Here is a 19,547-nt window from a genome sequence, read left to right as displayed (position 1 = left end):
AAATTGAAGGAAAAATAAAAAGATAACTGAAATATTCAAAAAAGAGTTTTAGAAACACGAATCTGTAATATATGTAAGAAATTAATGCTGATAGACACTGAAGGCAGAAAAAATAAACCATTGATTTATTATTCAACAAGTATTAATATTTACTGAGTATTTACTATGTGACGGGGTCTCAGGATACAACATTGAACAAATTTCAACAAGTATTAGTATTTACTGAATATTTACTATGTGACACGGTCTAAGGATACAACATTGAACAAATTTTTATAGTGACCTCTTACATTTGCCCAAGTGAGAAACTGAAGTAGAAAGAGATGAGTTTGAGAAACATATTAAGGTTAGAATTGATGGACCTGGCAACTGATTTGGTGTGCATGGCTTGAATGATGGGGAAGTGCCAAAGATAGCATAGTACAGGCTAAAAAATAGGAACTGACTTATGTCACATTATCTAAAGATTTCAATGATTTTCTCAAGATTACATTTACTATGTGATAGAGAAACTCTTCTGCTTCCAGCTCCTATCTTTTCACTATACTGTCTTGCTTAAAAACTCACCTCCCATCTTTGATTTTCATCCTCTTATATATGATCATTTTACCCATTTTAGTGCAAATATCAGTACCATTAAATGAAAAATAACAAAACCCACATGGAAATTGAGAAGTTCTACTCTCTAAGTCAAACATTAATAGATCAGGAAAGAATTTAAGATATCAGTAAGTTTAACAGGTATTTTATAAATAAGAAAGTTTAGGCTTAAGCATTAAGGTTAAATAGGAGCTGCCAAAATTTTCTTCTTACTGAATCTTTATAAAATCGTTTATCGGAATTCATTAAAAGAGTCTTTTGGCCAGGCGCGGTGGCTCACGCATGTAATCCCAGCACTTTGGGAGGCCAAGGTGGGCGAATCATGAGGTCAGGAGATCGAGACCATCCTAGCTAACACAGTGAAACCGTATCTCTACTAAAAATACAAAAAATTAGCTGGGCGTGGTGGCACGTGCCTGTAGTCCCAGCCACTCAGGAGGCTGAGGCAGGAGAATTGCTTGAACCCAGGAGGCGGAGGTTACAGTGAGCCGAGATTGCACCACTGCACTCCAGCCTGGCGACAGAGCAAGACTCTGTCTCAAAAAAAAAAGAGCCTTTCATGGAAAGAGTAGGTTTATACTAGGAAATAACCATTACTGTTTAAACTTACCTTTGCTTGTTTCCCTTTTACAATCTTATTGGATATGTGTATCACTAACTTATAAATTTTAAATGGCATTTTAAAGACTACTTTACCTTTTAATTTGCATTTTATTGCATTGTAATTGTGTGACTTTTTTTTTTCAGGGAGATATAATGGATACTTTGCTTGGATCCAAGTCAAACCAATCAGCATAATTCATCATTCCTAATATTTTTCTTGTAGTTGTTTTAAAAAAGGAATTAACATCCAATATTCTGTATTACATACTGTACACCAGATTTTGATTTCAGAAAACAATATTTGATGTATAACTTCCACTTAATTTAAATTTAATAAACTTTTATTTCAGAGATATTTGATTAGTTTACAATCTAAGAGTTATTCTTAAGAGTTTCAGTGGAATTTTCTTAATTTTTCTAAAGATATTCCTACTCTCTTGATCATATTCTAAGTACATATGAGTACATGTACATTCTTATACAATGTCTAAATGGGTTAGAAAATTATTATACCTATAGAAGCGAAACTTGGAAATTAATAGAATCACTTAAACCAAAATCTTTATAAGACACAATTCTATTGATTTTAAAGCTTCTGCTTTCCAGGCTCTGTTTTCCAGAGTTTATAATTACGTAGTTTTTAGTAGATGAAAATAATGGATTCTTGTACCTAACATTTTATCCTCTTAGATCTAAGAGCCGAAGCTATAGAACTTTGTTAGACTATTTGGCAAGCAAAATATATGACAGTAAATATCAGAATTTTATGGTTTGACCAGCGCTTATCACATTCCCAATTCAGTGAGAAAAATTCATCTGGGACACAACAGGGTACTCTTCTCTGTTTGCCCAGAATCAGCTCTGGATTTTAAGCCCAGACTTCAGTGGACCCAGATAGAAAATATAAAGTCTCTGATCTATAGGCCACATCAGGATGTTATTTTATGAAGAGTTCTAGAGCAAGGTTGCGGAAATCGGGGTGGAGATGGGGAGCAGTGACTCCTCCAAATATTCATTGCTAACAGGCCATTCTATGCAGTTTGTTTTAACAAATCCTGGGTTAAACTGAGGCCACAGGACATGATGGGCTGTTCTATAAAGCATTCTAAGTGGAGAGGAGACGATAGGGCATATGAAATTCACTAAACTCTCTGGAAAAAAAATATGTATATATTAAAAACCAAGACTGGAATCAGTGCAACAGTGGGAACTACCTTTTACAAGTATCCATTGCTTCATAAACTCCATTTGTTTGGACCAATCCCTTAAACAAAAGCAAGGCAAATTTTACATGGATTTAGAGCCTAGGTCAGGTTATTAGGATTATAAATTTTCCACTGGTATGTCATTGTGATTATCTTTGTTTTTGTCTTTCTGAAAGATTGGATTTTCTATAACACCTTGTGTAAGAAAATAAAAAACTTGATCTAACTGAAAAAATGTGTTCCTTTTTATTATGTACTTTTGATCTTTACAAATTATTCACATATTTTCCCCATTGTTCTTCAAGCCTGCGTATAAAATAAAGCTATTTTTTTTGGATCCTGGGAAACTGATCCTAAAGCACTGAACCTATTTTATTCTACCCTTCTCATCCCTGCTTCTGCAGCCTTAAGTGATTTTCCCATACTTAATAGGTTAGCATCAAATTTTTAGTCTAAGATCTTTCCTCCTGGGGACTTCAGAAGGAATTATTTTGCTTGCTTTATAGACTGGCTTTGAATCTTTACTAGTAAACTCTGTTTACCACACATTTTTAAGAATTGGGTAAGAATTCTGTCCTGCCATTAGCCATCTTATGTTATCCTTAAACACACACACACACACACACACACACACACACACACACACACAGACACACACACACACACACCCTAGTGTGCTGGTTAGGGATCTAAGGAGAGAGTGGTGACTGTGCTAACTTTAGGCTTCTATTTTGTGCTAGGTATTCATTACTTCATTTGGTCATTTTCTACCAGGCATCTTTCATCTAGAACTTACATTATTGTTGTCTGATAGTAAATTGTTAGCTGCTCTTCCAGTTGAGGCAGAAAAGGAAGATTGTATTCACTACTATATAATTGTGTATCATATTTAGTGTGTTCACTTGGTTCACCTCTATGTAGTTACATATAATTATAAGTGAGAAAATGGAACACTTAGTATTTGCCATTTTATCTCAGGAGGAGTCTCTTTAAAAGAAAATATTGAATTTTACTCTGAATAGATTTAGTTATTAACATACTAATTATGCACATGAAAGTTCTTTACCGTTTGCCAAACACTTTCACATCCATTTTCCCAATATATCATCACAGCAATCCTATGAGACTAATGGGGCATGTAGTTGTAATATTATCATAATCTCTATTTTCCAGATGTTATAATTAAGCCTTGAAGAGGTGATACAATATGCCATAGACCATACAACTTATAACTGGTCAAGCTTGAACTCAAGTCCAAAGCTCTGACCAGTTCTTATACACTTTCCATTTTGGCATAATAAATGGTTGATGCCTTATATAGTTTGCTGAGGCCTCATACACCAAAATGCAAGTGCGTATAATCTATAATTAAGATTTTATCCATAAATGATAATGCTTGTAGATTTGTTTTTTTTTTCCATGTTCTCCTGCTGAGAGGCCTTGGCACGTGTATCCTTTCTGTTGAGAACACCCTCCTCCCCACTCCTCACTCTCCTTCAAAACATTAACTCTACATGGCTTTCAGATCCCAGTTCCTATCTCATCTCCTCAGAAGAACCCTCTCTAAGCTCCCTCTCATAGGACCTACCACCCAATCAAATTAAATTTGGTTCCTTTGTTAACTGTTCTCAAGTCACCGTGGATTTCCCTTATAGCATTATTTCAGAAATTATTGAGGGATAATATTAAGAGATATATTTTTAATCCTTATTTTTCTTCATTACCTTTCCCTTCTCAAGTTAGTAGCTCTATGTTTATAAGTTGAAGGAGACATATAAAACGACAGTAAATCAAATACATCCATTTTTCTTCTATAAAAGCATAGGACTTAGAAAAGGTATTTGAGACATAGACCAAGTATCTTAAACATAAAGAGAAATGTGAAGTTTCCTCAGGGATGGAAAGGGTAGGGGGATGAGAAAAAGAGGGAGGCCTGTGGATCCTTAGAGCAGAGAAGATCCATGCCCTACTTCTAAAAACCATTGTCCAGGAAGTAGTAAGACCCGTGAGGGACCACAGGAACTCTGAAAACTATTCCTTATGCCATGAGTGATGTGCAACAGCAGCAGCAAAGAACCACTAGAACCGAAGAAGCCAGACAACTGAGGAGGCACCAACTCTTTGATGACAGAAGGGCCTTGGCACACCAGAGTAAGATGCTCTAGTTATGTCCAGGGAAGAGGAAGGAAACCAAGCCCAAGTTGGACTGACATCAACTTGTTTGGATGTTGTTTATTTCTGCCAGCTGAGTGGTATGGAAACTTGGAGTCAAAAATTGAACAGAATTCTAGCAAATATATTTCTTGGATAACTGAGTTTCTAAATGAAGATTTGTACCAGCTGTGCTAAATGTTTATTTGTACAATAATTTGCTTAGTGCCTGTCTCTTTCCTAGACTGTAAGTTCCTTGAGGGTAGGAACTATGTGTTTCACTCACTGCACTATATTTACAACACCTAGAGCAGTGGCTCACAGAGTAGTAATGCAACAAGTATTTATTGAATAAATGAATTATCAAATTAATGGGGAAATGATAGGTTCATGCTTGCCCTTTATCACAAGATGGCATAATATTTTAAATTAAATTTTCTAAAAATCCTAACAAAATATCTTGACCATCACAGAAGGAAAAGAAAACATTTTAAGTGTGGAAAACATATAAAACATAAAATCAGCCTGGAAAGTTGGTTAACACAGTCGTAGTTGTCTTTGGTTCTACAGCAATATAAAATCAGTTTTTCCCTTTAAGACAAAAACTAACCTATGATCCCTTTCTTTTAAAGAGCGAGTATTGCTGCTACTTTGTAAGGCTGTGTTCCTGCCAGCCATTTGGGGAACAATTTATCTCTGATGTAAAAGCACTAGCAAAATGCCTGGTACATGATAGGCACTCAAAAACGGCAGCTCTCATTCTGATTATTCCAGAACCACATCCCCATGTCCTGGTCTGAGAACCTCTTTGCCCTTTGTGGTTGACTGAGTCTTTGCCAAGGCTCCACTCCTCCTGCAGACTATGTTGATGACCTCATTTGTTCCTTCACACAATATTTAGGCTTTTTTTTCTTGTTTGTTTAGGATTTTGTACAATGTCAAATCCACCCTCAAATCCATAGAACATTTACTAGGCTATTAGTCTTCATTTCTTTAGGTTGACATATCCATTTAGTGATAAAACTAAAAGGCTGACAGTTTACATTAAATGAATTCCTGGGTTAAATAGAAAGCATAATGTATCCCTTAACTTGGAACATATAAAACATTGTTATGAATCTTACAAAAAAGGAACACTGCATTTTCTAAATGGGTGAGACATTTATGCAACATCCAGAACAACTAATGAAAAATGTACTTTCACCATGTCTGTATTTTCCTCAAATAAGTCAACTATTAAAAGACATGGTGCCATTATACTAGGAGAACAGAGGATTCCAGGATGTTCTGGCGGTTTTAAATCAGAACTCACTGATAATAATTTTATTGAATTTTCCAATTATTTATTGAGTCTTTATTTCTAAAAGCCTAAAATGACAACAAAAACATAAGAAAGCTGCTGCTCTGTTCATACAAAATAAAGCTTTAAATATAAATTATTATTTTTAAGATACATTTTTAAAAAACATTTTTAGTTGCTCATTTTATTTTATTTTAGGTGTATTTGTTTTGGATTTTCTCCCAGCTTTATTTAAAGTATAATTAATTTACAAATAAAAATTGTATATATTCCAATTGTACATTGTGAAATGATTACCACAATTAAATTAACATCCATCATCACCCTTAGTTACCTTTTTGTGCATGTATGCGTGTATGTGTGTGTGTGTGTGTGTGGTGAGAACACTTAAAATCTGATCTCTTTGTAAATTTCAAGTAAACAATACAGTATTAACTATAGTCATCATACTGCATATTAGATCCCTAGAACCTATTCATCTTCTAAGTGAAAGTTTTCACCCTTTGACCATCTCCCCATTTCCACCATCTTCCAGTCCCTTGCAACCACTGTTCTACCCTACACTTTTATAAATTTGACTTTTTAAAAAAGATTCCACATATGTGAGATAATACAGTGTTTGTCTCTCTGTGTCTGACTTCTTTAACTTAGCACAATGTCCTCCAGATTTATCCATGCTGTCAGAAGTGGCAGAATATCCTCCTTTTCTTATGGCTGAATAATATTTATCTGTGTCTGTGTGTATCACATTTTCTTCATCCATTCATCCACCAGTGGACATTTAGGTTGATTCCATATCTTGGCTATTGTGAATAATGTGTTAATGAACATGGGAGTGCAGATATCTCTTCGACATACTGATTTTATTTCTTTTGGGTATATACCCATAAGTAGAATTGCTGGATTGCATAGTAGTTCTGTTTTTAAATTTTTGAGGACTCTCTATACTATTTTCCATATTAGCTGTACCAGTTTACATTTCTATCAACTGTGTGCAAGGGTTCCCTTTTATCTATATCCTTACCAACATTAGTCTCTTCTCTTTTTGATAATAGCCATCCTAATAAGTGTGAGGTAATATTTTGGTATTGATTTGCATTTTCCTGATGATTAGTGATGTTCAACATTTCATATACCTGTTGGCTATTTTATGCTTTCTTTGAAAAAAATGTCTATTCAGGTCCTTTGCCTATTTTTTATTCAGGTTATTATTATTATTGCTATTAAGTTGTATGTCAGCTGGTCATTTTAATCCTTACTGATAGGGAATTAAAAACATCACTGTAATGAGTGGTAAAAAAGTTTAATCTATAAAATCATGCAAAAACTTTTCTAGATAATGTTATTTCAGTATCCCTTCCACACACATTCTTCATAAGTTAACCAGAGTTAAAAAGTCAAGGGAAAGGAGTTTCAGATGGGGAAAAAGAGAATATGGAACTTCAATATCTGTAAGGCATTTGATATAACTGGACCATTTAGAGTTCGAGGATATCTAAAACCTGAACAAGTAGAGAGAGGCCAAATCATGAAATGTCTTGCAGGCCATATTAGAGAAATTTGGAAATTTTCTTCAGGGAAACTGTTGGGGGGTTTTAGAGATGGGTGATAATCATGAGTTTCAGAAAGATCATTCTGGCAGCAGTATGGAAAATGGATTGATGACAGGGCCAACTGAGAGGCCATTGCAGCAATGCCAATGAAACCTGAGGTCATGGTAGAGGGGATAGAGAGCAGTGGGTGGATCATAGAGAAATTTAGAAGGTAGAACCAAAGAGACTTGGTGATTTAGTGGATGTTTGTGTATGGAAAAGGTTTAGTCAATGGAGTGTGAGAGAAAATGAGGAGTTGTGAATGACTTCTAGGAAAAGCTGGAAGAATCGTCGCATCTTAATGAAGACTCTGTCTAGAAGCATTAAAAATAAGTATTAGCCAACGATGAGCAGCTACTATCTGTGTCAGAAAATAACAAAAATAAATTAGTATTTGCTAATGAATTTATATATAGTGATATCATAATCATAATTATCATCAAATAATTATATGTGATATGCTTTATAATTTATCAGAGCTATAATTAACATTACCGCAATTGATCCTGTGATATTTTTCAATGTAACAAATCAGAAAACCAAATTACAGGTTAAATACATCCTCAAGGTCTCTTAGCTGGGAACTAGAGTAGCAATCCTAAAAGTTTAACATTCTAATACCAAGGTTCTATTTGGTGGCATTCCCACCATTATAATTTCCATCAATGATCAGTCTATTGAAAGTTTCCTTGTGCTAGAGACTCTGATCAGCACTCTTTGGATCATTTAATCCTTACAATTAGCCTAATAAAGTTTGTATTATTATCTCTATTTTACAAATGAAGAAACTGAGATTCAGAGATTTTAAGTATGTCTTAAAATCTAAAGTATTAAGGTCACATAAATATTAAATGGAAGAACTGATATCTGATTTCCAAAATCCAATGCCACAAACAGTATATACAACTCATGCCAACCTATTCCAAACACCATCTGTTAAGTATACTGTCGTCATAGTTCCTTTATAAATGGTAAATAAGTGAGTGATATATTTACTGAATTCATTGTTTGGTTGTTAATTTGGGTTTTGGTACACATTAATGGTAGGCCTTCATATAATCAATCATATTGAAAATGTGGTAATTTATTCCAGTTGTTAAGGCCAAATAACTTATTTTGCTTTGATCTAGAAACTTGAATCATTATAAACGTTCTCTCCATCTGTAACATGTAAATAACTGTAAGATAATTATAATAGTCAGGATAAGCCAGGTTATGTTGTTATAGCGAGCAATCTCCAAATCTCAGTGACTTCAAATGATAAAGGTTTCTTTTTTTTTCTTTTTTTTATTATTATTATTATACTTTAAGTTTTAGGGTACATGTGCACATTGTGCAGGTTAGTTACATATGTATACATGTGCCATGCTGGTGCGCTGCACCCACCAACTCGTCATCTAGCATTAGGTATATCTCCCAATGCTATCCCTCCCCCCTCCCCCCACCCCACAACAGTCCCCAGAGTGTGATGTTCCCCTTCCTGTGTCCATGTGTTCTCATTGTTCAGTTCCCACCTACGAGTGACAATATGCGGTGTTTGGTTTTTTGTTCTTGCGATAGTTTACTGAGAATGATGATTTCCAATTTCATCCATGTCCCTACAAAGGACATGAACTCATCATTTTTTATGGCTGCATAGTATTCCATGGTGTATATGTGCCACATTTTCTTAATCCAGTCTATCATTGTTGGACATTTGGGTTGGTTCCAAGTCTTTGCTATTGTGAATAATGCTGCAGTAAACATACGTGTGCATGTGTCTTTATAGCAGCATGACTTATAGTCCTTTGGGTATATACCCAGTAATGGGATGGCTGGGTCAAATGGTATTTCTAGTTCTAGATCCCTGAGGAATTGCCACACTGACTTCTACAATGGTTGAACTAGTTTACAGTCCCACCAACAGTGTAAAAGTGTTCCTATTTCTCCACATCCTCTCCAGCACCTGTTGTTTCCTGACTTTTTAATGATTGCCATTCTAACTGGTGTGAGATGGTATCTCATTGTGATTTTGATTTGCATTTCTCTGATGGCCAGTGATGATGAGCATTTTTTCATGTGTTTTTTGGCTGCATAAATGTCTTCTTTTGAGAAGTGTCTGTTCATGTCCTTCACCCACTTTTTGATGGGGTTGTTTGTTTTTTTTCTTGTAAATTTGTTTGAGTTCATTGTAGATTCCGGATATTAGCCCTTTGTCAGATGAGTAGGTTGTGAAAATTTTCTCCCATTTTGTAGGTTGCCTGTTCACTCTGATGGTAGTTTCTTTTGCTGTGCAGAAGCTCTTTAGTTTAATTAGATCCCATTTGTCAATTTTGTCTTTAGTTGCCATTGCTTTTGGTGTTTTAGACATGAAGTCCTTGCCCATGCCTATGTCCTGAATGGTAATGCCTAGGTTTTCTTCTAGGGTTTTTATGGTTTTAGGTCTAACGTTTAAGTCTTTAATCCATCTTGAATTGATTTTTGTATAAGGTGTAAGGAAGGGATCCAGTTTCAGCTTTCTACATATGGCTAGCCAGTTTTCCCAGCACCATTTATTAAATAGGGAATCCTTTCCCCATTGCTTGTTTTTCTCAGGTTTGTCAAAGATCAGATAGTTGTAGATATGCGGCATTATTTCTGAGGGCTGGTTTCTTTTCCATTCATATTACATATTCATTACAGATCAGTGGGCAGTTATGCTCCATATTGTTCTGACTCAGTGATTAGGTTCCCACATCAGGAATGTTGTTGGTAACCACAGCCAGGAAGAGGGAGAACTGGAGGATCATACACCGATCCTTAAATTTCAGGCAGAAGTGACATATGTCACATCCACTCACATTTTATTTGCCAAAATATGCCACATGGTGTTGCCCAATTTTAAAGAGCAGAGAAATACAACCCTACCATGTGTCAGGACAGAGGAGAACTAGAGATACGTCTACTCTAGAAATTCACAGCAATCCCAGATGTTAATCAATTTCACAATGGAGTTATTTCCAACATCAAATAAGTTGTGAAAACATTGAATTAAACAAAGTTAAAGAAATTTCATAACTATAAGTCTTCTCTGGGCTCTACTATATTAGTAGGCATTATTAATCTCAAAGAAAGAGACTACTATCATGGAATCCTTTTTAAAAAATATTCAAAGACCATCTGCAAAGACTCATGTTCTGAAGAAAACACTTTAAGAAACAGTACCATAAGACCTTTCTTTATTAGAACTTGTTTGTGGAAGGATGAAAGGAAAGAAGAAGGCAAGGAAAGGATGAAGGAAGGGAGGAAAGAAAAAGACGACAGCAGTGCAAATTTATGGATGGTTTTGAGATTAAGAGTTATACAGAAGAGTCATCCATAGTAGCTAGTCCCAACCAAAAATAATATTTTCTAATCCCTTGTTCATGACATTGTTAATTTATTATTTATTGAATTATATATTATTCTAGGTGCTGTACTTGTGTTAACTCATTTTGCTTCACAATAACATTATAAAACACAGATTATTATCTCCTCATAGATGGAGAAATTAAAACTCAGAGCGGAAAATTACATATTGTGTCTCCTATGTTGAAATCCTAACCCCCAAGGTGATGAAATTAGGAGATGGGGTCTTTGGGAGGTGAATAGGTCATGAAGGCAGGACCCTCATGAATGGGATTGATGACCTTAGAGACCCCAGAGAGCCAGCTTGCCCCATCTTCTGTGAAAGGACACAGAGAGAGGTCCTAGAATCCGGACCATGCTGTCACCTTCATCTTGGACTTCCCAGGCTCCAGAACCGTGAGAAATAAATTTCTGTTGTTATAAGCTACCCAGTCTCTGGTATTTTGTTAGAGCTATCCGAAGGAAACCTGAAATAAGACACATAATAATTGCCACATAGATAGTAAACTGAGTTACAGACCAGAATGAGGAAGAAAAATCACGTCCATCTCCAAATGAAAGGGATTAAGTGCTCCTGTGAGAGGTGCAAAAAAGAAACTGTGGTTACTCAAAAGATGGAAAGATTCCTTTTCAGTTGGTTAGCCTTTCATGGACCTTGAGGTATGTGAAAAAAGTGATGTTTGGGTACCTGAGTGGAAAGCATTAAATGTGATATTGTTTGGATTGTCTTCTGGAGGTAATGGTGAGCCACTGAAGGTTTGTGAGGTGGGAGTAACATAATCAGACAATTATAGCAAGACTGATAATTTCAAGTGCAGAGAAGACTTTTAACAATTAAATCCAACCCTCTCAATATACAAATGGGGAAAATAAGCCCCAAAATTTCAGGCTTCACATCTAGGGCTTTTATTATTGTCATGAGCTTTTTCATCTGGGTAGCTACTTGGCTGTCTAACTTGCCTCCATTAGGTCACAGAATGAGCTCAAGTATTGCCAGCCTTCCATCCCAAACTAAATGAGCCCTAATGAGGTATTAAGAGCTGGTAGAAGAGGGGACTACTTTGCACCTAGGGGCATCAAGTGTGGTGATAGCAGGATCATGCCAGAGTCCATCTGACATCCAAGGTAGGGATCGTCCCTTGGCTGAATATCCCTGGGGTTGTGCAGAAGCCCAATCCATAGCCACTGATGATAGATCTACTGCAGTGCTATGTTAAAACTGGCATTGTCAAGATATGCACTATAAATCTCCAAAGAAGGGAAGAAGTTTGGTAATACATGGCTCAATAGCTGTTATGTTGTGGATGTGCTAAGCATGGTAATACAGACGTCCCTCTGGAGTTGATGAAAGATGCTGATTTTGACCCATCCAAAGATGGAGTAGCTTTCTCTGATGACAGAACCATTTCTGCTTCTTTGGTCCCTTTCTTAGCAAATGACCGCCCTACCTCCCAGTTGAACAAGCCAGAAATCGAGGTATCATATTTGACATCTTTCTCTCCATTGCCCCTGATACCCAGTCAGTACCAAGCCCTTCTATATTTTGAATACACATGTGTCCTATCTCTCTTCCATGGCCTTAGTTTAGGCCACCATCATATCTAAATTATTGAAACAGCCTTTTTCTGTTTTTCCTTTCTCAAGTCTTGCCTTTCTTAATCCATTCTTCACACTACAGCCAAAGAAATGGAGAAAGCAAGACTCTTAGAAATAATTTTTATTTTTTACAGCAAAGAATGCTTTCAATTAGATAACAGATTATTTTGTTGTATTTTCCAGCTTCCCTACAGAAGAACAGTGATTTCACAAGAAGTACAAATGATATGATCATGGCCACAGACTTAGCAATTTTTTTCCAACCAGGAATCACAGACAAGGATTTCACAGAATCAACTGAACCATTATTTGTTCAACTTGCTAAAACCTGAGTCAACAGTTCTTTAAGATCCCAAACTCTGGGATTCTCAGTTTAGGTAAGACCTTTGCAAGAGCTAGTGCTTTCAGAGGTTTTACCAAAAGAGAAATTTCATTATTTAGCTATTTGGGATATGGACTTAGCTTTCTATTATCATAAATACGTGTGTTGAGAAAAGTGTACCTAGGTCATAGGTGAAGGATAACAAGATCCTAGTCAGATAAAATCTTCTGAATTCTGAAGTTATCTTTTCTAGTCTTCTATTCTGATGGTGAGAGGAGAAGCAGCTAATAATTAGTAGCTGTTTTTTTTTGTTTTTGTTTGTTTGTTTGTTTGTTTGTTTTTGTTTTGAGACAGAGTCTCGCTCTGTCGCCCAGGTTGGAGGGCAGTGGCGTGATCTCAGCTCACTGCAAGCTCCACCTCCCGGGTTCATGCCATTCTCCTGCCTCAGCCTCCTGAGTGTCTGGGACTACGGGTGCCCACCACCACGCCTGGCTAATGTTTTGTATTTTTAGTAGAGACAGGGTTTCACCGTGTTAGCCAGGATGATCTCGATCTCCTGACCTCGTGATCCACCTGCCTCGGCCTCCCAAAGTGCTGGGATTACAGGCGTGAGCCACTGCGCCTGGCCTATTAGCTGTTTATTGTACCAAGTGGGACGCATGTTATCACATTAGACCTATGAGGTAGTTACAATCATCAACACTATTTTACAAAGAAGGATGCCTTAAAAACTTGCTTAAGAGTCTAGATCTGGTAAGTAACAGCCAGGCAACAGCAACGGCCAGGATTCAAACTCAGGACATAAGAAATTGCCTACTTAAGTGTGATATCCCATTGTTCTGACATTCATATTGCTTTCAATATTCAAAAAAACCCCTGTGAGATGGGTCTTCCCATTCCAGAGATATGGTTATTGAGGTTCAAAAGGTTTTTTTGTTTACTTGTTTGTTTGTTTGTTTTTTAGAGACACGGTTTCACTGTCACCCAGGCTGGAGTACAGTGGCACTGTCATGGCTCATTGTAACCTTGAACTCCTGGGCTCAAGTATGCCATTGTGCCTGAGTAATTTTTAAATTTTTTGTAGAGATGGAGGTCTCACTATGTTGCCCAGGCTGGTCTTGAACTCCTTGCCTCAAGTGATCCATCTGTGTTGGCCTCCCAAAGTGCTGGGGTTACAGGTGTTAGCCACCAGGCTTTGCCTCAACTCAAAAAGTTTAAAACTTGCCTTATGTCACTCAGTAAGTAGCAAGGCTGAGAGTGAAACTCATTCTTGGCAACTTTCAAAGTCCGTGAGTTTTCCATAATGCCTTCCAAGAGGGCATCTGTTTTTATCATCTCACAGATGCGTTGATGGTATTAAGGAGAGACTGAATAGCTGGCAATACTCATAAAACCGCATTTTCAAAACTTTACTGTGTAACCCTATGTGCTTAGCAAATATTGTAAAAATGAGGTTCTGACCAATGAAATGTCAGGAAAGTTAGTATAAATTGGTCAAGAGAGTGACAGTCACTCCAGAATTTGATTTGACTATATTTACCATATCAGATTCACATTCAGTCCTCAGCAAAATGAAGGGCTCCATTTTCACTCTGTTTTTATTCTCTGTCCTATTTGCCATCTCAGAAGTGCGGAGCAAGGAGTCTGTGAGACTCTGTGGGCTAGAATACATACGGACAGTCATCTATATCTGTGCTAGCTCCAGGTGGAGAAGGCATCAGGAGGGGATCCCTCAAGCTCAGCAAGGTAACAGTAACTCATGTGTCTCCTCTATTTTCCTTTCACATGTCTCTTTTATTTTTTCAAGCTGTGTTTTAAACCATTATTTTATTAAGTGTTTCTCTAAGTACTGTTGAGGCATTTTTTATGTCAATTTAAGGGATTAATTATCAAAATATACTGAATTTGGCTTGGGAAAGTGATGAGCATGCTACCTTTCAAAAAATAACTACCTCATTTTTTAGTCCCCTGCTTGAAATCATTTAATCGCATGACTACTTCAATGGGCTCAGCATCTGTGGAAGGTACTTTGGAGGCTATGGCGAAGCATGTGATTTCAAGGAGCGTGTTGAAGTAGCAAGACTTTCACTCATGAATAATTGTACAATATAATAAGTTAGAATTCCGGCAGTTGTTAAATATGGATGCAAGGAAAGAAGCTGACCTTAATTGAGCACTTTTAAGTGCTGGGAAGTTACATGTGCAACATTTCATTCAGCTTTCTGATAAGGATCCTGGGAAGCAAGCAAAATTACCACCATTTATCATTTTACCAAGAAGAAAATTCTTCTCCCAGCTGGTGAAAATGTGGTTAGGTAGGAAACTGGGTCTATCTGGCTTCAAGAGCCAAGGTCTTTACTAATTCCATACTGAGTCTCGGGTGGGAAAGAGAATGTTACAAAATGTCACCTATTACAAAATGTCACCTATTTTGTAATAGGTGACAGCATCATGGAGGTGGTGGTTACTGACAGAGGCCCTGAAGGATTTGGGGATTATGGAAGGTGGTGGGGAAGCAGGGTGGGAATTCTAGTAGTAGGAATTGTCTGATCAGGATTTTGAAGGAAGAAATGAACCAAATGTCTTTCAGAAACGGTGAAGCGGCTGACTTCACTATATTTCTTTATTATTCAATTCAACTAACTTAAAAATTTGACTGAAATTCTTTCTGTTAATTCCATATTAAAGTATGAGGTAGAATTTATTTAAAATCCTATTTTTAGATTTTTATTTATTTATTTATTTATTTGATTGGAGACAGGGTCTTGCCCTCTCACCCAGGCTGGCACAATCATAGCTCACTGAAGCCTCAAACCCCTGCACTCAAGTGATCCTCACACCTCAGCCTCTTGAGTAGGTAGGACTACAGGTGTGTGCCACCACATCTGGCTAATTTTTAAATATTTTGTAGAGGTGGGGTCTTGCAATGTTGCCCAGGCTGGTCTCAAACTCCTGGCTTCAAGCAATCTTCCGTCTCGGCCTCCCAGAGCACTGGGATTACAGGCATAAGCCACTGGGCATGGCTGAAAATCCTATTTAAAAAATTATTTTTTTAATTGGTAAAAATTATATACATTTATTGTGTACAACATATTGTTTTGAAATAGGTATACATACAATATACATGTGGAATAGCTAAATCAAGCTAATTAACATATGCATTACCTCACATACTTATGTTTTTGTGATGAGGACACTTGAAATCTACTCTTTTAGCAATTTCAGGAATACAATGCATTTTTATTAACTATAGTCACCATGTTGTACAATAGACTTCTTGAAATTATTCCTTCTAATGGAAATTCTGTACTCTTGACCATCTCTTCCCCAACCATCCCCCTCACCCTCACCCTCTGATAACCATCGTTCTCCGCTATACATTTTTGAGTTTGACGTTTTTAGATTCCACATATCAGTGAGATCATGTGGTGTTTGTCTTTCTGTGCCTTGCTTAAGAGTGTATTTTAATAATTGGTTGTATTTGCTATGTTTTATACTAAAAAGTTAAAAAGGAAAAATGTGATTACATAATAAATGTTGCGACTATATGTATGATTGTTAAGGTTTCAGTTTAATTTAAAATGATGTTGGTAATAAAAACCTTTTAGAAAATGACCTAAACTGTTCATCTTTGGGTGGGCTAATGTGTTGAAAAAGCATGTATTTTCCATTTTCAGTACCACTTTAATATTGAAGTTCATATGACTAGTTGCTAACAAAAATTATATGGGTTTTTAATCTTAAGAGAGTAAGCATAATTTACCAGGATTTACAACAATCTCTGTAATAGCAAACCAAAATGCACTATAAAAATACATTTGGGATATCTCTGAAACACATAGGGGAGTGGAATGGATATCTATAAGGCTAGCTCTGTTGGACATCACTGAAATCATACTACTTATTATTCAATCTTTCTCAGATTTTCAGTGTTTTCCCACACATTATTTATCTGATCAATTACTGGTTTACCAACCAGCATCTGTTCACCTAGTTTTTCATGGTGCCTGCTGGTGTGCTAAGGCATTGATAAGTCAATTTGAACTAAATTAAAGTGAGAGAAGCTTATATATGAACTTTGGAAACAACACTTAGGCAAAAACTGTGAATTTCACTTTTTATTTTCAGATATAGAGGTTTAAATCTCCATTTCCTTCTTTACTGATCGAGATTGCAGGGCATACACAGGGTTTTTTTTTGTTTATGTGTTTTTTGTTTATAGCACATAACTAATATTGGAAGCTGCTGGTCATCCAGCAGAGGTAGCGAGTAAAAGAAGTCAAGTCCCGACTAGCTGAGCAACACTGACTGTCACTCCTCATCTTTGCACTCAAGTTTCTGCCTCTGTAAAATGAGGACAGTGGAGATGACTGTGCTCTCCCCAAAATGTCTAATCTCTCTGAAACCAGGCCAACATTTTAAAAAATTATGTGTATGATTCTATTTCATTTTAGGGATCCAGTTCATTTCCCCAGGAGTGGAATGTGGTTGCTGCCTTCTTTGTAGGAGCTGTCTAAGGATGTATTATTTTTTTCTCTTCCATACAGCTGAGACAGGAAACTCCTTCCAGCTCCCACATAAACGTGAGTTTTCTGAGGAAAATCCAGCGCAAAACCTTCCGAAGGTGGATGCCTCAGGGGAAGACCGTCTTTGGGGTGGACAGATGCCCACTGAAGAGCTTTGGAAGTCAAAGAAGCATTCAGTGATGTCAAGACAAGATTTACAAACTTTGTGTTGCACTGATGGCTGTTCCATGACTGATTTGAGTGCTCTTTGCTAAGACAAGAGCAAATACCCAATGGGTGGCAGAGCTTTATCACATGTTTAATTACAGTGTTTTACTGCCTGGTAGAACACTAATATTGTGTTATTAAAATGATGGCTTTTGGGTAGGCAAAACTTCTTTTCTAAAAGGTATAGCTGAGCGGTTGAAACCACAGTGATCTCTATTTTCTCCCTTTGCCAAGGTTAATGAACTGTTCTTTTCAAATTCTACTAATGCTTTGAAATTTCAAATGCTGCGCAAAATTGCAATAAAAATGCTATAAACCAAGCTCACTGTGCTGTTTTCTTTTTAAAAAATTGTAAACAACTTTTAAACAGTAAACCGAAAATGCTGGTGATGGGAAAATCTAAAAATATACATAAAAAATAAACATCAGCTATTATCTCATCATCCAGAAATAACTATTCATTCTTAATGTTTGGGTTACTGTGTATTGTTACTGAAAACTTAAACATTGATTCATAGTGTAAGCCAAAAAATATCTGAGACAGTTCTCAATCAATTTAGAAGTTTATGTTCCTATGGTTAGGGATGTGAACCCAGGAGACAGGTCTGTGTCTTTCTCCAAAGATGAGTTTGAGGGCTTCAATATTTAAAGGGGAAAGAGTGGATATTGGGGAAAGAGGAATAACTTTTTTTTTTGAGATGGAGTCTCGCTCTGTCGCCAGTCTGGAGTGCAGTGGTGCAATCTTGGCTCACTGCAACCTCCACCTCCCAGGTTCAAGTGATTCTCCTGCCCCAGCCTCTCGAGTAGTTGGGACCACCATCACACCCAGCTAATTTTTTCATTTTTAGTAGAGACGGGGTTTCACCATATTGGCCAGGGTGGTCTAGATCTCTTGACTTCGTGATCCAACTGCCTCTGACTCCAAAAGTGCTGGGATTACAGGTGTGAGTAACTGCAACCAGCCGAGGAATACTTTTTAAGAGGTGTGGGTAGGCGAGAAGCAAAGGGTTGCATTCTTTTGAGCCTTTGATCAACCATTCACATGTGATAGCGGAGTAGAGAAATAGTCACTTGTGCATTAATCTAGCTCAGTGAATCTGCATTTTTACATAAGATAAACATAGGAGAGAGGAAGCAATCAGACATGCATTTGTCTCAGGTGAGCAGAGGGATGATTTTGAGTTCTGTTCTTTGTCCCACACCTGTGAAGATAAGCTATCAATTTACATTGTCAGAATGAAATTTGACAGAACTATTTCAGGGTAAAGATTTTGGGGCCCACAAAAATTTCCTAGTGGGCAAATTGTGAGGGAGGTATGTAGCTTGTTAAATCTTTGTAGTTATCTTAGTTAGGAATAAAATGAGAGGCAGGTTTGCCTGATGCAGTTCCCAGCTTGACTTTTCCCTTTGGCTTAGTGATTTTTGAGTCCTGAGATTTATTTTCCTGTCACAATAGTCAAATATGAGAATTTAAACAAAGTGCTTTTCTCAAAGTACCAAAATGCTCAATAAATGTTTCCTAATATTATATAGTCCTTCAACATTATATTTGAGAATAGCCGGGGGGCATATATGTATCTACCAGGTCCCATAAACAGCTGAAACCCAGAATATGTTTAAGTAATAAGCTTCTTCCTGTAGTATGGGCCACCTTGGTTTTACCTTTCTACTGCATTCTATTCTCATTCTGGAACTTGTGAAACAAAGACCCAGACAACCAAGTCATTGTTATGCAATTGGATGTCTTCCCAGATAAAATGACAAAAGACCGAGTAAGGATATCACAAAACTATGCTTTTATTTCTAACTCTGACAGCGAACTCCCCCAGTGGGTTGTTACAATAGTTAGAATCTAAAGACACATGCACACGTATGTTTATTGCAGCACTATTCACAATAGCAAAGACTTGGAACCAACCAAAATGTCCATCAATGATAGACTGGATTAAGAAAATGTGGCACATATACACCATGGAATACTATGCAGCCATAAAAAAGGATGAGTTCATGTCCTTTGTAGGGACATGGATGAAGCTGGAAACCATCATTCTCAGCAAACTATGGCAAGGACAAAAAACC

The 19,547-nt window shown here is 36.8% G+C and overlaps 2 protein-coding genes across 12 annotated transcripts in view; both read left to right on the top strand.

Moving 5' to 3' along the window:
- Nucleotides 1–2,643, top strand: part of DNAI4 (dynein axonemal intermediate chain 4) — a 111,972-nt gene extending 109,329 nt beyond the window's left edge. For all 11 annotated transcript variants that reach the window (XM_017002354.2, XM_047430752.1, XM_017002353.2 and 8 more), the window contains one exon: nucleotides 1,348–2,643. In XM_017002354.2, the coding sequence (XP_016857843.1) occupies nucleotides 1,348–1,398 (51 nt within the window). In that variant the 3' untranslated portion in view covers nucleotides 1,399–2,643. The remainder of the gene's footprint in view (nucleotides 1–1,347) is intronic.
- Nucleotides 2,644–14,251: 11,608 nt separating this feature from the next.
- Nucleotides 14,252–17,788, top strand: INSL5 (insulin like 5). The gene is made up of 2 exons (NM_005478.6): nucleotides 14,252–14,481; nucleotides 17,283–17,788. Exons 1-2 carry the CDS (start codon nucleotides 14,307–14,309, stop codon nucleotides 17,513–17,515), a joined length of 408 nt encoding a protein of 135 aa, NP_005469.2. The 5' UTR covers nucleotides 14,252–14,306; the 3' UTR covers nucleotides 17,516–17,788.
- Nucleotides 17,789–19,547: the final 1,759 nt, after the last annotated feature.

Source organism: Homo sapiens, chromosome 1 (genome assembly GCF_000001405.40).
Source record: "Homo sapiens chromosome 1, GRCh38.p14 Primary Assembly".
Taxonomy (NCBI): Eukaryota; Metazoa; Chordata; class Mammalia; order Primates; family Hominidae; genus Homo; species Homo sapiens.
Note: the sequence above shows the minus strand (reverse complement) of the source record. Positions and strands in the feature narration are given on the sequence as shown.